The sequence below is a fragment of the Homo sapiens genome, chromosome 19 (assembly GCF_000001405.40).
Source record: "Homo sapiens chromosome 19, GRCh38.p14 Primary Assembly".
Classification (NCBI taxonomy): Eukaryota; Metazoa; Chordata; class Mammalia; order Primates; family Hominidae; genus Homo; species Homo sapiens.
The window spans coordinates 21,296,107-21,314,188 of NC_000019.10; the positions used below are offsets into that span (position 1 = coordinate 21,296,107).

Sequence of the window (18,082 nt, forward strand, 5' to 3'; positions counted from 1 at the left end):
AGTAACTTTTCAAAAAAAACTGGAAGGCCTGAAGAGAACTGGGTGATATAGTCAAAGTCCTGGGGAAAAAAAAAAAATCTGTCAAGTGAAAATAATGCAAGTAAAAAGAAGTGGCCGGGCACAGTGGCTCGTGCCTGTAATCCCAGCACTTTGGAAGGCCGAGGCGGGCGGATCACCTGAGGTCAGAAGTTCGAGACCAGTCTAGCTAACATGGTGAAACCCCGTTTCTACTAAAAATATAAAAAATTAGCCGGGCGTGGTCACGTGCCCCTGTAATCCCAGCTACTCAAGAGGCTGAGGCAGGAGAATCGGTTGGACCTGAGAGGCGGAGATTGCAGTGAGCCAAGATCATGCCATTGCACTCAAGCTTGGGCAACAAGAGCGAAACTCCTTCTCAAAATAAATAAATAAATAAATAAAAAAGAACTGTCCAACTGAATAAAAAGAAAGACCTTCCAAAATAACCTAATCCTGAAAAAGTATATTGGCACTTCATATGCCCTACATACCAAAGATGCTGAAAGGAGTTCATCCCACTGAAAATAACATGATGCAGGAAAACACATAATCATACAAAAATACATAACTTTCTGGGAAAGATATTTACATACACAAAAACAGAATTCCTTAGCATTTTAATAATCATGCAGAAAACATTATTAATTTTTCTCTAAAATTTAAAAGATAAAAGCATAGAAATGATTATAAACATCTGTTAATGTAACATAAAAATAAATAATTAGTGGCCAGGCACAGTGGCTCATGCCTGTAATCCCAGCACTTTGGGAGGCTGAGGAGGGCGGATCACCTGACGTCAGGAGTTCAGGACCAGCCTGGCCAACATGGTGAAACCCCATCTCAACTAAATATATAAAAATTAGCTGGGCGTGGTGGTGGGCAACTGTAATCCCAGCTACTTGGGAGGCTGAGGCAGGAGAATCGCTTTAACCTGAAAGGTGGAGGTTGCAGTGAGCCATGATTGCACCATTGTAATCCAGCCTGGGTGACAGAGCAAGACTGTCTCTCAAAAAAAATGAATAAATAAAAATTTAAAAAATATATATGTATATAATTAGCAACATCAGTAACAAAGTAGAGAGCAGATATAATGAGAAAGAATTTTTGTATGCAAATAAGGTATATATATATATATATATATATATATTTTTTTTTTTTTTTTTTTTTTTTTTTTTCAGATGGAGTCTCACTCTGTCGCCCAGGCTGGCATGATCTCAGCTCACTGCAACCTACATTTCCCGGATTCAAGCAACTGTGGTGCAAATAAGGTTAATTTTTACTACATTAAAATTGTTTTATTTTCTAAAGTTTTTATGTAATTCCCAAGGTACCACAAAGAAAATATCTGTATAGATACATAAAAGAAAATAAGAAAGAAGTGAAAGCATATTAATACAAAAACCAAAGGACACAAAAGAAGACAGAGGGAAAATGAGGGACAAAGATACAAGAATTAAACAATAGAATTAATAAAATTACATTAGTTACTCTTTCAGAAAATTATTTAAATATATATAAAATTAACTTTTCAATCTAGAGACATAATTTTCAACGAAATGATTTATTAAAATCTTTCAAATACCAAGATTCATTTGCCTTTTTGCAAGTCAGTTGAAACCTAATGATAAAAAAAGACTGAAAGTAGCAAGATGAAAGTAGAAATTTTATGTAAATATTAACCAAATGAGAGAAGAAGAGGTCAAAATAATATTACACAAGCTACATCTTAAGTCAAAAAGTGTCATATTTAACAACATGTACTTTAAGTGAAAACTCTGAAAAGAGAAAAAAGGACACTGAACAATAGTAGTTTCATTTACTGGGAACAAATGACTAGTGTGTGTGTGTGTGTGTGTGTGTGTGTGTGTATGTGTACAGACGCACATCTCACATGAGGGTTTCAAATATATAAAACAAATATTGACGGAATTGAAGAAACACACAGAGAGCAATATAATTATAGTAGAATATATTAAGACCCCATTTTCTTAATAAAAATAAAACAAGATGGAATATTAGCAAGGGAATAGAAAACTTGAAATCAGTATGGAACAATTATTTCTAACAGAGGTATAGAGAGCTGAACATCAGGATACACACCCTTCCCAATAGTTCATACAACATTCTCCTTGAAAGGACCATCTGTTAGGCCAAAAAAAATTCTTAACAAATTTTTTAAAACTGAAATTTTATGAATTACTTTCTGTGACCAAAATGGAATAAGATTATAAAACAATAATTTAAAAAACGGAAAAATTCACAAATATATAGAAATTGAACAACACACTTTTGAGTGTGCTGTTGTTCAAAGGTTGAAATAATTAATATTGTGTAGATGTCCATGCTGCTGAATGTAATCTAGAGATTTAATGTAATGTCTTTCAAATTTCTTATTGCACTTCTGAAGAAATAGAAACAGCAACCCCAAAAGTATATGGAATCTCAAGAGACTATACTCAACAATCTTCAAAAAAAGGAACAATGTTAGAGGTATCACAGTTCTTTACTTCAAAATACATGACAAAGCTACATAATAAAAACAATTTTGTGTGAATATAAAGATAAGAAAGTAGACTAATAAAATAGAATCCAGCACATGAACTTTCACATATATGGTCATATAAAGAGTCATTTGCTTACCCATAATTATTGCAGCACTGTTACTGAAAGCCAATAGGTAAAAGCAATGCAAATTTCTGTTACAAAATCATTTAGTAAATATAATTTGAAATATAAAAACGGAATATCACTCAGTTTGCAAACAGCAGAAAATATTATAACAACTATAAAGATAAATCTTAACATTATGCAAAATGAAACGAGCCAGTCACAAAAAGACAGAGATTGTATGATATGTCTAACAGTTACACTCTGAAACAGAACAAGAATGGTGTTTGAAAAGTGAGATGAAATGGGAATAATTGGTAGTTGTTTAATGTATATTAAGATTTAGCTTTACGGCCAGGCAGTGCTGTACTCCCAGCACTTTAGGGGGCCGAGGCGGGTGGATCACGAGGTCAGGAGTTCAAGGCCAGCCTGGCCAAGATGGTGAAACCCCGTCTCTACTAAAAATACAAAAATTAGCCAGGCATGGTGGCGGGTGCCTGTAATCCCAGCTACTTGGGAGGCTAAGGCAGAGAATTGCTTGAACCTGGGAGGCAGAGGTTGCAATGAGGCGAGATTGCACCACTGCACTCCAGCCTGGGTGACAGAGTGAGACTCTGTCTCATACACACACACAAAAAAACAGATTTAGCTTTGCAAGATAAAAACATTTTAGCATATGTTGCATACCAATATAAATATAATTAATATGAATAAACTAAATATTTAAAAATCTTTTAGGTGAGGCACAGTGGCTCATGCCTGTAATCCCAGCACTTGGAGAGGCTGAGACAGATGGGTCACTTGAAATCAGGAGTTCAAGACCAGCCTGGCCAACATGGTGAAACCCCATCTCTACTAAAACAACAACAACAACAATAACAACAACAAAAAATTAGCTAGGGGTGGTGATGCACACCTGTAATCCCAGCTACTCAGAAGGCTGAGTCAAAATAATTCCTTGAACCCAGGAGGCGGAGGTTGCAGTGAGCCAAGATCACACCACTGCACTCCAGCACAGGAGACACAGTGAGACTCCATCTCAAAAAAAAAAAAAAAAATTGTTTTTTTAATTCTAAATTTTGCTGTGTTTTTGACAAGTAAAAGTAAACAATAATACTTAGATAAAGTTATCATAGTTTTAAAAATATCTTTAAATCCAAAAATAATAGAGATTCACAAATAAATTGAATGTTAATATTAGAAGAATTTCTAACACTATTCACTTAGACAGGATTAAACAACTATTCACAACACACCTACACAACAAATACACAAGTTATAACAAAAATACATGGATAGGCTGGGTGCAGTGGCTCATGTCTGTAATCCAAGCACTTTGGGAGGAAGGCGGATCACGAGATCAGGAGTTCGAGACCAGCCTGACCAACATGGAGAAACCCCATCTCTACTAAAAATACAAAATTAGCCAGGCGTCGTGCCACTGCACTCCAGCCTGGGCAACAGAGCAAGACTCCGTCTCAAAAAAAAAAAAAAAATGCTGGGCACGGTGGCTCACGCCTGTAATCCCAGCACTTTGGGAGGCTGAGGCGGGCAGATCACATGAGGTCAGGAGTTGGAGACCAGCCTCAACATGGAGAAACCCCATCTCTACTAAAAATACAAAATTAGTCAGGCATGGTGGTACATGCCTGTAATCCCAGCTACTCGGGAGGCTGAGGCAAGAGAATTGCTTGAACCTGGGAGGCGGAGGTTGCGGTGAGCTGAGATCGCACCATTGCACTCCAGCCTGGACAACAAGAACGAAACTCTGTCTAAAAAAAAAAAAAAACAAAACAGGGATAATATTTACACAAGCAAACAGAGATAATTATATTGGCAGTAGACATATGGCTGATTCATATTTAATTTTGCTTGACATTGTCTTAAATTGCATTGAGTTAATCATTGTCATATACAATTTATTATTATTATTTATTATTATTTTTTGAGACAGAGTCTCGCTCTGTCTCCCAGGCTGGAGTGCAGTGGCACCATCTCGGCTCACTGCATGCTCCACCTCCCAGGTTCATGCTATTCTCCTGCCTCAGCCTCCCAAATAGCTGAGACTACAGGCACCCACCACCAGGCCCAGGTAATTTTTTGTATTTTTAGTAGAAACAAGGTTTCACTGTGTTAGCCAGGATGGTCTCTAACTCCTGACCTCACGATCCACCTGCCTCGGCCTCCCAGAATGCTTGGATTACAGGCATGAGCCACCATGCCCGGCCTGTCATACACAATTATAATACAAACTCAAATATCAAAACACAATTTATTGGTGTGAGGTGGCATAACCTAAAAAATATAACTCAAAAATATAAAATTGCAAAACAAAATTAAAATATGAAATGTAAAACTTATTGGACACTATCAAGTAGATTAATATATTCATGAAAGAAATCCTAGAAAAAGAATACAGAGAAAAAGTAATATGAGGACATTTCAAGATAAAAACAACCTGAGAGCCAGGCACGGTGGCTCACCCCTGTAATCCCAGCACTTTGGGAGGCCAAGGTGGACATATCACTTGAGGTCATGAGTTCAAGACCAGCCTGGCCAACATAGTGAATCCCGATCTCTACTAAAAAAATACAAAAGTTAGACAGGGTGCGGTGGCTCATGCCTGTAATCCCAGCACTTAGGGAGGCCAAGGCAGGTGTTTCACAAGGTCAGGAGTTTGAGACCAGCCTGGCCAAGATGGTGAAACCCCATCTCTACTAAAAATACAAAAAAAATTAGCCAGGCATGGTGGCAGTCCCCTGTAATCCCAGCTACTCCGGAGGCTGAGACAGGAGAGTTGCTTGAACTCGGGAGGTGGAGGTTGCAGTGAGCCAAGATCAAGCCACTGCATTCTAGCCTGGGCGACACAGCTAGACTCCATCTCAAAAATAAAACAAACAAACAAACAAAAAAAAATTAGCTGGGCATGGTGGCACGTGCCTGTAATCCCAGCTACTCAGGAAGCTGAGGCAGGAGAATCACTTGAACTCGGGAGGTGGAGATTGCAGTTAGCCGAGATCACATCACTGCACTCCAACCTGGGCAACAGAGTGAGACTTTGTCTCAAAAAAGAAAAGAAAAACCTAAGAACTTTCCAAATGTTGATGTGATAAAAAAATATTTCTAACCAATAATACTTGATCCAAAATTATTTTACTTTAAAAACAAGATAAAAATAAAGACTCCATAATAAAAGGTGTGGGTGTTCATCACTACAAGCACAGTCCTATGAAAAGTACTACATGGTGTCCAGGCACTGTGGTTCGGGCCTATGAATCCTACAGTTTTAGCAGGCCAAGGCAGCCAGATCACTTGAGAATAGGAGTTCAAGATCAGCCTGAGCAACATAGTGAGACTCTGCATATAAACAAAGAGAAATATTAAAATGAGTCCATTTTTTTGAAAATTAAAATGATGCTGGCCAGCATCATAAAACCATATATAAAATAAAGCTCTCTATTAAATGTAAATATACAGACACATATAGAATTATTTACTATCATAATGATGGTACACAAAATCCTTAAACTACTTCTATAGAATATGAAATATAAAATATAAATCTGTTAGTAGATGCATAGTATAAAATAATCTTCAATATCAATAACTACTGAAAAATATAAAGGTATAGCTTTTGTATTAAATTGAAGTTGTTACGAGATTAAAATATATCATTTTAGTTTTGGCTGGGTGCTGTGGCTCACATCTGTAATCCCAGTACTTTGAGAGGCTGAGGCGGGTGTATCACCTGAGGTCAGAAGTTTGAGACCAGACTGCCCAACATGGCAAAAACCCATCTCTACTAAAAATACAAAAAATTAGCTGGGTGTGGTGGCAGGTACCTGTAAGCCCAGGTACTTGGGAGGCTGAGGCAGGAGAATTGCTTGAACCTGGGAGGTGGAGGTTGCAGTGAGCCGAGATCATGCCATTGCACTCCAGCCTGGGTGACAGAGCAAGACTGTGTCTCAAAAAAATAAAATAAAATATATTATTTTCATATTAAAATGTTTTATGTAATCTCCATTTCTCAAGACAATTACAAAGATAATATTTATCGAAAGTATAAATAAGGAAATGGAAAAATAACCAAAGCATATCACTACATAGAATAAACAAAAATAAAAGCAGCACAACAAGAAATGAGAAAAAAAAATCTACAAGAAACACATAACAATAACAGTAAAACTGGTAATAGCAACTCTATTTTAAAGCAATCATTTTAAATACTAATTAATTAAACTACTTAATAGAAAGAAACATAATCCTAGGATGTTGTGAGGTCAAAGTGGGCTGATCACTTGATCCCAGGAGTTTGAGATCAGCCTGAGCAACATCTCAAAACCCTGTCTCTACAAAAAAAAATACAACAAAACTTGCTGGGTGTGATGGCAAATATTTGTAACACAGCTATTTGAGAGGCCGAAATGAGAGGATCATCAGAGTTTGGAAAGTTGAGGCTGCAGTGAGCCATGATCATGCCACTGAAAACCAGGCTGATTGACAGAGTGAAACCCTATTTCAAAACTGAATGAATAAATAGGCCAGGCATGGTGGCTCATGCCTGTAATCCCAGCATTTTGGGAGGCCAAGGTGGGTGGATCACTTGAGGCCAGGAATTTGACACTACCCTGGCCAACACAGTGAAACCCCAATTCTACTGAAAATAGAAAAAATTAGATGGGTGTGGTGGCACATGCCTGTAATCCCAGCTACTTGGGAGGCTGAGGCATGAGAATCACTTGAATCCAGGAGGTGGAGGTTGCAGTGAGGCAAGATCACGCTACAGCACTCCAGCCTGGGCAATGGAGTGAGATCCTTTCTCAAAAAGAAAAAAAATTAAAATAAATGAATAAATAAATAAAATTATAAAAAAGAAAAAGAAATAAAACATCTGAGTAACTGGAAAAAAGCATACAATATGCTGCCTACAAGAGACTGGTTTTAGCATTGCATTGAATAGACTGAAAGTAACGTAATAGAAAAAATTTATTTTTCATGCATATAGTAACCACAATTGGGTAAGGTAGTTATAATTATATTAGACATAATATGCTTTTAGTCAAGTACTAGCATGAGAACAAAATTGATATTATATAATAATAAAATAGGTCAATTTACCAGGAATCTATAACTATTATATCTCTCTCTATATATGTATGTATGTATAAAACATAAGAGCTGCAAAATATATAAAGCAAATACTGACAAAAGTGAAGAAATACTTAGCAACATAATAACTGTAAACATCAACACCCCATTTGCCATAATAAATAAGAAAATAAAAAACTCAGACATTATAGACTGTATTAATTATTTTACCTACAGAGGAATACCTGAGAGTAGATAATTTATAAAGAAAAAAGGTTTATTTGGCTCACAGTTCAGCAGACTGTACAGGAAGTGTGTGCCAGCATCTGTTTCTGGTGAGTAAGGGTCCTAGTAAGCTTATAATCATTGTGGAAGGCAAAGTATAAGTGGACACATCACACAGTAAGAGACAGAGTAAGTGTGAGGTGAAGAAGCCAGGTTTTTTTTTTTTTTTTAACCAACCAGCTCTCATTTGAATCAATAGAGCGTAACCTTTTTGATTATCAAAAGGATGGTGCCAAACCATTTATGAGGAATTTGCTCCCCCATGACCCAAACACCACCCACCAGGTCCCACATCAAACAGGAGGATTATATTGCAGCATGAGGTTTAGAGAAAATGGACATCCTCTAACCTTAGGCCAACCATATCATATCACCAACTAGGCTTAACAGATATGTACAAAACTTACCAGGCAAAAGCAAGAGAATACACACAATATTCTTACTTGCTCCTAGTGTGTTCTGTTACGACACATACCAAGTCTTATTAAATTTATGAATACTGGCTGAGTGCAGAGGCTCATATCTATAATCTCAACACTTTGGGAAAATCACATGGGGCAAAAAGTTTGGGACCAGCTTACACAACATAGTGAGACCCTGTCGCTACTAATAAATCAAAAAATTAACCAGGGGTAGTAGTGCATTTCTGTAGTCCCAGCTCAAAAATTTGAGGTAAAAGGATCACTTGAGCCCAGCAGGCTGAGGTTGCAGCGAGCCAAAATCATGTCACTGCACTACAGCCTGGGCAACAGAGTAATATCCTGTCTCAAAATAACAACAAATACATTTAAGAAGACCAAAAGTATACACTATGTTTTCTGACCAAAACTGAAAGAAACTAGGCATTAAAAGCCAAAGTAAAACTGGGAAATCCAAAAATATAGGAAATTAAAACACACTCTTCAACAGATTCTTTTTTTTTTTTGAGATGGAGTCTCGCTCTGTTGCCAGGCTGGAGTGCAATAGTGTGATCTCGGCTCACTACAAACTCTGCCTCCAGGGTTCAAGCAATTCTCCTGTCTCAGCCTCCTGAGTAGCTAGGACTACAGGTGCGTGCCACCACGCCCAGCTAATTTTTGTATTTTTAGTAGAGACAGGGTTCCACCAGGTTGGCCGGGATGGTCTCGATCTCTTGACCTTGTGATTCGCTCACCTCAGCCTCCCAAAGTGCTGGGATTACAGGCGTGAGACACTGCACCCAGCCACTTTTCAACATATTCTTGCTCCAGGGTCAAAAAATTTAATTTTTCAAAGACATTACTATGACCTAACAGTGGTGAATGAATTTAATATAATCTCTATAAAAACCCTAATCACACAGTTTTTTACAGAAATATAGTTTATTTTTTTATTTTTATTTTTTTTAGATGGAGTCTCACTCTATTGCCAGGCTGGAGTGCAGTGGCTGTAGTGGCCTGATCTCGGCTCACTGCAACCTCTGCTTCCTGGATTCAAGTGATTCTCCTGCCTCAGCCTCCTGAGTAGCTGGGAATACAGGCACCCGCCACCACGCCCAGCTAATTTTCGTATTTTTTTTTAGTAGAGACGGGATTTCACCATGTTCTCCAGGATGGTCTCTAACTCCTGACCTCATGATCTGCCCGCCTGGGCCTCCCAAAGTGCTGGGATTACAAGCGTGAGCCACCGGGCCTGGCCTAAAATTTTTAAATTTGATTACAAACTATAGATAAACACCCTTGAAAAAGAACAAAGAGGCATTATACTTTCTGATTTCAAAACATATTAAAAGCTACAACAACAAAACAATGTGGTACTGACACAAAGATAAACAGATGAAAGAACAGAGAGCCCAGAAATGAACTCTTCTGTATAAGATAAAATAACCTTCCACAAAGTTGCCATGAGCATACAATAAAGAAAAGATATTCTCTTCAAAAAATATTGTTGAAAACTGGAAAGCGACACTGATGAAATAAAGTTGGATCATTTCCTTGAACAAAATACAAAAAATATGGTTTAACTAAATACTTAAACATGAAAAGATAAATAACATCTCTTAGAAAAAACATAGGAAAAAGTCATGTCATTGGTCTTGGCACTATTTTTTTAGATATGACACTAAATGCATGAGCAACAACAACAACAACAATAACCATTAAGATTTAACTGCATTATACTTCAAAATTTCTGCACATCAAAACAAAAATTCAATAGACAATGCCTCCTAGAAAATGGGTGAAAATATTTGCAAATCACAAGAGATGAGTGATGAGTTAATATTCAGAATATATAAACAACTCTTAAAACTGAACAATAAAGCTGAATAACTTGATTTATTAATGAAAAAATAATTGAACTGAATTTTCATTTAAAAAGATACCCAAATGGGAAAAAGTATTTGAAAAGAAAAGCAAAATTAATAATTTATAGAGAAACACATAAAAAAGAAAAATGAAATCACCTCACACCCATTACAATGGCTACTGTAAATTTATGAAAAACACCAAATCTGTTGATAATGCAATGAAAATAAAACCCCTGTTGATTGTTGGTAGAAAACAAAAGAGCAGCTATTGTTTTAAAATGTTACAAATATTGGCCGGGCATGGAGGCTCAGGCCTGTAATCCTAGCACTTTGCGAGACCGAGGCAGGCAGATCACAAGGTCGAGAATTCGAGACCAGCTTGACCAACATGGTGAAACCCCATCTCTACTAAAAATACAAAAATTAGCCGGGTGTGGTGGTGCACACCTGTAATCCCAGTTACTCGGAAGGCTGAGGCAGGAGAAATCGCTTGAACCCGGGAGGCGGAGGTTTCAGTTAGCTGAGATCAGGCCACTGCACTCCAGTCTGGGCAATAACAGCAAAACTCCATCTCAAAAGAAAAATAACATAACATAACATAACATAACATAACATAACATAACATAACATAACATAACATAAAACATAACATAACATAACATACATAAAATAAAATAAAATAAAATATAAAATAAAATATAAAATAAAATAAAATATAAAATACAAAATAAAATAAAATAAAATAAAATATAAAATAAAAAATAAAATAAAATAAAATAAAATATAATATAAAATAAAATAAAATAAAATACAATAAAATACAATAGGAATTACAACTATCCAAGCCCCTTGTAACCAGCCAACTAAAGGTGGACCCCAGCACAGAAACTGCAGGCTTGAGACCAAGCTACTACCCCTCTCCACAAACCCAGAGGGCATCCCAGAACCCTGGCAGCCCAAAAAAGAAGATCTTGTCTGGGCGAAGTGGCTCATGCCTGTAATCCCAGCACTTTGGGAAGCTGAGGCGGGTGGATCACAAGGTCAGGAGTTCAAGACCAGCCTTACCAACATGGTGAAACCCCGTCTACTAAAAATACAAAAATTAGCTGGGCATGGTGGCACAAGCCTGTAATCCCAGCTACTCGGGAGGCTGAAGCACCAGAATCACTTGAACCCGGGAGGCGGAGGTTGCAGTGAGCCGAGATCACATGACTGCACTACAGCCTGGGTGACAGAGTGAGACTCAGTTTCGGAAAAAAAAAAAAATCTTTACCTTCTGAAATCAGTTTATCAGTTTATAAAAAGTTGAAGAGGCATTTGCATTTTCAAATTTACAGACACCAATGCCAAACTATATTGTGCCCACTTGTCAATGCTTCTCTTTTAACATAACACTGAAAATATGTGGCAGAAGAATTAGTCAAAAAATAAAAAACCCATTGAAATTGAAGACAAGTAAAATGTTTGTTTGTAGATCATAAAATCTTACATATAAAAATACATAAACAGTACATTAAAACCTATCTAATAAATACACTCAGTAAATTACCAAATATAAACTCAACTTATAAGTTATCATTCTATAAACCTAAATTGTCTAATAAAATAAAGGAAGAAAGCAATATTATTTATAATAGCATTAAAATAATATATTTCTGAGAACAAATTCACCCAAGAAAGTGAAAAAAATCTTTACAATAAAAGATATAAGATTTCAATGATGAAATCAGAGAAGACACAAGTTTTAAAATATTTAATATCTATGGATTTAAAGAATAAATATTGTTAAAATACCATATTATCCAAAGTGAGCTATAGATTCAAGAAACTCCCTACCAAAATTCTAGTGGCATTTTTTTCATAGTAATAGAAAATACAATCCCTAAATTTACATGAAACTATAATAAATCTTTTTTTTTTTTTTTTGAGATTGAGTTTCACTCTTATTGCCAAGGCTGGAGTGCAGTGGCACAATCGCAGCTCACAGCAACCTCTGCCTCCCGGGTTCAAGCAATTCTCCTGCCTCAGCCTCCAGAGTAGCTGGGATTACAGGCATGCACCACCACACCTGGCTAATTTTGTATTTTTAGTGGACACGGTATTTCACCATGTTGTTCAGGCTGGTCTTGAACTCCTGACCTCAGGTGATCCACCCATCTCGGCCTCCCACAGTGCTGGGTTTACAGGAGTGAGCCACCGTGCCCAGCCCAGTAAATCTTTTTAAGAGACAGGGTCTCCTTATGTTGCCCAGGTTGGTATCCAACTCCTAGGCTTAAGGGATCCTTCTGCCTTGGCCTCCCAAAGTGATAGGATTACAGCTGTGAGCCACTGCCCCCCCAGCCAAAACTACAAGAAACTGAATAGTCAAAGCAATCATGAGGAATAAGAACAAAGTGAACATCATACTTTTAAATTTCAAACTATATTTCAAGCCTGTAGTAATACAAATAAGATGAAATGTGCAGAAAAATAAAAAAAACAATGGAACAGAAACCACAACTCTTACACATTTCAGACATGATGCAAAAAGAGAACTTACAAAATAGTTTAACACAGAGTTTCTCAAAATTATGCAGATATTTCTGAGTCTCCAAAAACAATGGAAAAAAAAAGTCAGATTGTGCAATCTCTTATATGCCATGAAGAGGACTTTAGCTCACTGTAAACTTGAAGGAAGATCGCTGAAGGGAAAGTAGAATTTTTAAAGAATTTAAAAGCATAAGACAGAAGACGCCCCTATATTAAAGTTAAAAAAACAAAACAGCTGCCTAGAAACTTTGGAACACAGATTTCCAAGTCAAATTTTAAGGACTGGTTTTCTCTTTTACCTTTGGACCTCACATCTGTGTCATCTGTTGTGTTCACTCTCACCTACCTGGGGGTTTGGCTGCCATCTCGTGTCTCTTCATATTCCAGGGCTCTTTTCCTTGCTCCAGACAGGTGATCAGGTCTAAATTAGACACAGCAATACCTGTTTTATTAAAAATAAATAACGTGAATCTTGCTCATATTCTCCAATTACCAACCTAGTAATTTTCTCAGTAAAGAGAATGTAGGCCAGGCACAGTGGCTCATCCTGGTAATCCCAGCACTCTGAGAGGCCGAGGTGGGTAGATCACCTGAGGTCAGGAGTTCAAGACCAGATGGGTCAACATGGCAAAACCTTGTCTCTACTGAAAATACAGAAATTAGCTGGATATGGTGGTGCACACCTGTAGTCCTAGCTACTCGGGAGGCTGAGGCAGGAGAATCACTAGAACCCAGGAGGCAAAGGTTGCAGTGAGCTAAGATTGCACCACTGCATCCAGCCTGAGTGACAGAGCAAGACTCCGTCTCAGAAAAAAATATTTTAAAAAGAGAATGTAATAGAATATTCTAGTATATTAATCACAAAATATATTCTAGTAAATTAATCACAAAATACTAACTTATAACAAAATTTCTAAATATTAAGAAAATATTTTCAATTTGTATGTTCTTAATTTTACTACTCAGTGCTACTGAATCAAAAATTGGTGGTGGCAATTAGATTTTAAGGTGTGGGCAACAGTATTTTATGCCACTAAATTTCTGGAATTACCACTAATCTAGAGTGAAGGATACAGATCAGCTCAGAAACGTGGAAAGTTCAGGTCAGGGTGAAACATCTACACAGATAAATCCTACATTTTCTTAAAAACAGGTAGTTGAAACTCATTTATGTAAGCATAAATTGCCAAAAAAACACGCAACAAAAAAGAGAAATAAAACCTTTAGAGTATATTAGGAATTGTATATTAAAGTTATCCTCACCTTGCCGGGCAAGGTGGCTCACGCCTGTAATCCCAGCACTTTGGGAGGCTGAGGCGGGCAGACCCTGAGGTCAGGAGTTCGAGATCAGCCTGACCAACATGGTAAGACCCCATCTCTACTAAAAATACAAAAATTAGCCGGGCATGGTGGCACATGCCTGTAATCTCAGCTACGCAGGAGGCTGAGGCAGGAGAATCTCTTGAACCCTGGAGGCAAAGGTTGCAATGAGCCAAGATTGCGCCACTGCACTCCAGCCTGGGTGACAGAGTGAAACTCTGTCTCAAAAAAAAAAATAATAATAAATAATAAAAATTAAAAAAAAAAAAACTTATCCTCACCCAGGAATACCAGGTTTCTATAATTCTCTAACATGACATTCCTATATAAATTCTGCTGTGCTGTGTCCAGGCACTGCCACTCCTCCAGAGAGAATTCTATGGCCACATCCATAAATGTCAATGGTCCCTGAAAAACACATACACACACACATATTTACCAAGTGGTTATGGACAGAATTTTTAATTTGACTCAAGGTGAAATGAGAGAGTAAAGAGAACTGGTTCTGACTTATAGGAGTGACTGAAATTATCCAATAAAATAATTTTCAACACAGAAATATTCTCGAATGTATTCTCTAACTCTGAAAAAAGAGAGTAGTATAAGATCCACAAAATCAGTGTATATATGTTACTTTTCTGAATGATAAAGTATAAACTTAAGGGCATGAACAGAAACATGTACATTTTTTATTGCTATATATACATCATACAGAATGACTTGTGTATATTTTTCAGATGGAAAAGACATGTTGAGTTAGAAAGTGCTTCTCAAATTTTAGTCTGTAAAATAAACTGGAGATCTTGTTAGTGGAGATTATTTTTTCAGAAGATCTGGAATAAAGTCTCAGTTTTTAAATTTCTAACAAGCTCACCAATAATTCCAATGTTTTTGGCCCAAAAAGAATATTTTGTCAAACATCCCGTAAGTAAAAGGGCCTGTGTTTTTTTCAGTTTTACTTACCTGTACAGAAAGATAAGAGCTTTCATTTTCCAAAGACATATGTATACAAGGAAAACCTAAGAAAAAGTCAGCTCCCAGATAAAATATGATGATTTATGCACATTAGCTGCATAAAGATACTTAATAATGAACAGAAAAATAATTAACTCTATGGTGAAAAAATCTTTCAGAGAGCTCTTTAACCAAAAGACTTATTTTGTCTTTTTTTTTTTAACCGAAAGAATTATTAACATCAACTGCACTAGGACAAATTTTTATGATGTGCTAATGCATAACACAGAAGGACACAGCACCACTGCTGGAATATTCCCCCCAAAAGTGAATTATAGTCTGAATTTAACCATAAAGAAAACATCAGTTCTGTGCAAAGTTCAAGATAAACATATCTTTCCCGTTTTAATTTTTAATAATGATTTTAGGTAGACATCTTGAGAATATGCCTTTAAAGGTGTCAGCACCACCTGTTTACCTGATACCACCACATCCACAAGCAAAAAGATGAAGACTTGCAGAAAAAGTCCACCCATTTCTGTCCTTAATAACAGAAGAGATGCGGGAAAAACACGCTGCACCATGGAAATAAAGATATAAGTTTCATTTTTCCTGTCCTCAGGTGCCCTTCCCTTACATGGACACCAACAATTTCTGCTACAGTAATAAAAATATGGACCACACTGTCCTCTCCCTACCAAACCCAAACAGAAACAGCCCTATGGCCACCCTTTTAGTGCAAAGGTGAGACTTAACTCTTATGAATGTATCTGAACCCCTCATACTCAATTCTAGCCTCATGTTAAAATCACATGAGGCACTTAATTAAAACAACATGGGGCCAGGTGCGGTGGCTCAAGCCTGTAATCCCAGCACTTTGGGGGGCCAAGGGGGGTGGATCTTCTGAGGTCAGAAGTTCGAAACCAGCCTGGCCAACATGGTGAAACCCTGTCTCTACTAAAAACACAAAAATTAGCTGGGCGTGGTGGAACGCGCCTGTAGTCCCAGCTACTCGAGAGGGTGAGGCAGGACAATCGCTTGAATGTGGGAGGCAGAGGTTGCAGTGAGCTGAGATCGCGCCACTGCACTCCAGCCTGGTGACAGAGCGACACTCCATCTCAAAAAAAAAAAATACAAAAATTAGTCAGGCACGGTAGCATGCACGTGTAATCCCAGCTACTTGGGAGGCTGACTCAAGGAGAATCACTTGAACCTGGCAGGCAGAGGTTGCAGTGAACCAAGATCAAGCCACTACACTCCAGCCTGGGAGACAGAGTGAGACTCCATCTCAAAACAAACAAATACAACATGGATGTGTCCACCTGGAGCAATAAACAGAGCCTGTGAGGAGGGGTGAAGTACAGAGATTTCTGCAAACTGGCTGTGTAATCCTAATGAGAAGCCTGGGCTGATAACCACTTAGCCAAGCATTGCCTCTCAAGCTTTAGTGAGCTTAAAATTCACTTGGTAATTTTGGACCCACTCTACGTAATGGGATTCTGCAGGTTTGGAAAGGATCCATGGATAAATGTTTTAAACAAGACCCCTGTCAATGTTAATGTTGCTCCCCCGGGCTCATTATTAGCAGTAGTTAGAGAAAGCAGGCACAGCACAGAGTCCCTTACACTCAGCACTCTTGTCACAACACAAGTATTTCTGGTACAAATAAAGACAACCCATCTTCATCCTAAAGTTTCATATTATTTGCTGGCTCTTCAAAGTTTACAAAGGAAACAGAAGGCAGCAATGTCTGAATAAGTCTGCATTTGGAAAACAACATGTACTAATGCAAGGTGTATTAAGCAGGCGCTATGTGCTCTCAAGGGTATGCTACAGGCTGAGTGCAGTGGCTCATGCCTGTAATCCTAGGAGGCAGGTGGATCACTTGAGATCAGGAGTTCAAGGTCAACCTGGACAACATGGTGAAACCTCATCTCTACTAAAAATACAAAAAAAAAAAAAAAATTAGCCAGGTGTGGTGGCATGTGCCTGTAATCCCAGCTACTCAGGAGGCTGAAGTGGGAGAATCGCTTGAACCCAGGAAGAAGAAGTTGTAGTGAGCTGAGATTGTGTCACTGCACTCTGGCCTGGGTGACAGAGCAAGACCCTGTCTCAAAAAAAAAAAAAAAAAAGTATGTTACAGAGCACTGTGCTGGGAATAACATATTATATGATTTAACTCTCATAACATCATGCAAGTTGGTACTAAGTGTTTAATAATTACCAGGATTTAGATAAAGAGCCCAGCATTTTTAACTCTTCTACTGTTTCTCTGTCATTGGTTTTTTAAAAAATGTGTAGAAAAGCCAGGCGCGGTGGTTCATGCTTGTAATCCCAGCACTTTGGGAGGCCCAGGCGGGCAGATCATGAGGTCAGGAGTTTGAGACCAGCCTAGCCAACATGGTGAAGCCCCGTCTCTACTAAAAATACAAAAATTAGCTAGTCATGGTGGTGGGTGCCTGTAATCCCAGATACTCAGGAGGTTGAGGCAGGAGAATTGTTTGAACCCGGGAGGTGGAGGTTGCAGTGAGCCAAGATCATGCCATTGCACTCCAGCCTGGGCAACAGTGCGAGACTATGTCTCAAAAAAAAAAAAAAAAAAGTGTGTAGAATAAAAGCCTAATACAGACAGATGAGAGGATTACAGAAAGAGTTTAATGTAGTTTTGAGGAATTTTTACTGGGTTTATATTTACTTTTTTGTGACTTGTGGAACAACTACTGAATCTGCAGGAATAGAAAACAAGTTCCTAAATGGAATGTTTCTGCAACCTTGGTTTTAATAAAAAATTAAGAAATTAAGACCCTAAAATACATATTTTACTTTTCCCATTTATCTGCTTTTGGGTTTCAGGAAATTGGGAGCACCAGCTCTAGAGAGGCAGCAGAATTCAACAACCAAAACTCTGATCTCTTCTGATCAGTTCTGTGAGGCAAGACTCCAGGGCTGGGTGAGATCTAAACAAGGCCCTCAAGAAGGGTGAATCTGAACAGAACTGGGGAAGGGGAGACCCTC

The 18,082-nt window shown here is 37.8% G+C and overlaps 1 protein-coding gene across 5 annotated transcripts in view; it reads right to left on the reverse strand.

The window, feature by feature from the left end:
* The window catches only part of ZNF708 (zinc finger protein 708), a 38,251-nt gene that overhangs the window by 4,947 nt on the left and 15,222 nt on the right, over nucleotides 1–18,082 (reverse strand). For 2 of the 5 annotated variants that reach the window (NM_021269.3, XM_047439310.1), the window contains 2 exons: nucleotides 14,395–14,521; nucleotides 13,140–13,235 (listed from right to left, as the gene is read on the reverse strand). The exons of 1 other annotated variant lie outside the window; for it this stretch is intronic. In NM_021269.3, coding sequence (NP_067092.2) covers nucleotides 13,140–13,235; nucleotides 14,395–14,521 — 223 coding nt within the window. The remainder of the gene's footprint in view (nucleotides 1–13,139; nucleotides 13,236–14,394; nucleotides 14,522–18,082) is intronic. 2 more of the 5 variants (NM_001297561.2, NM_001297560.2) reach the window with 1 other exon arrangement.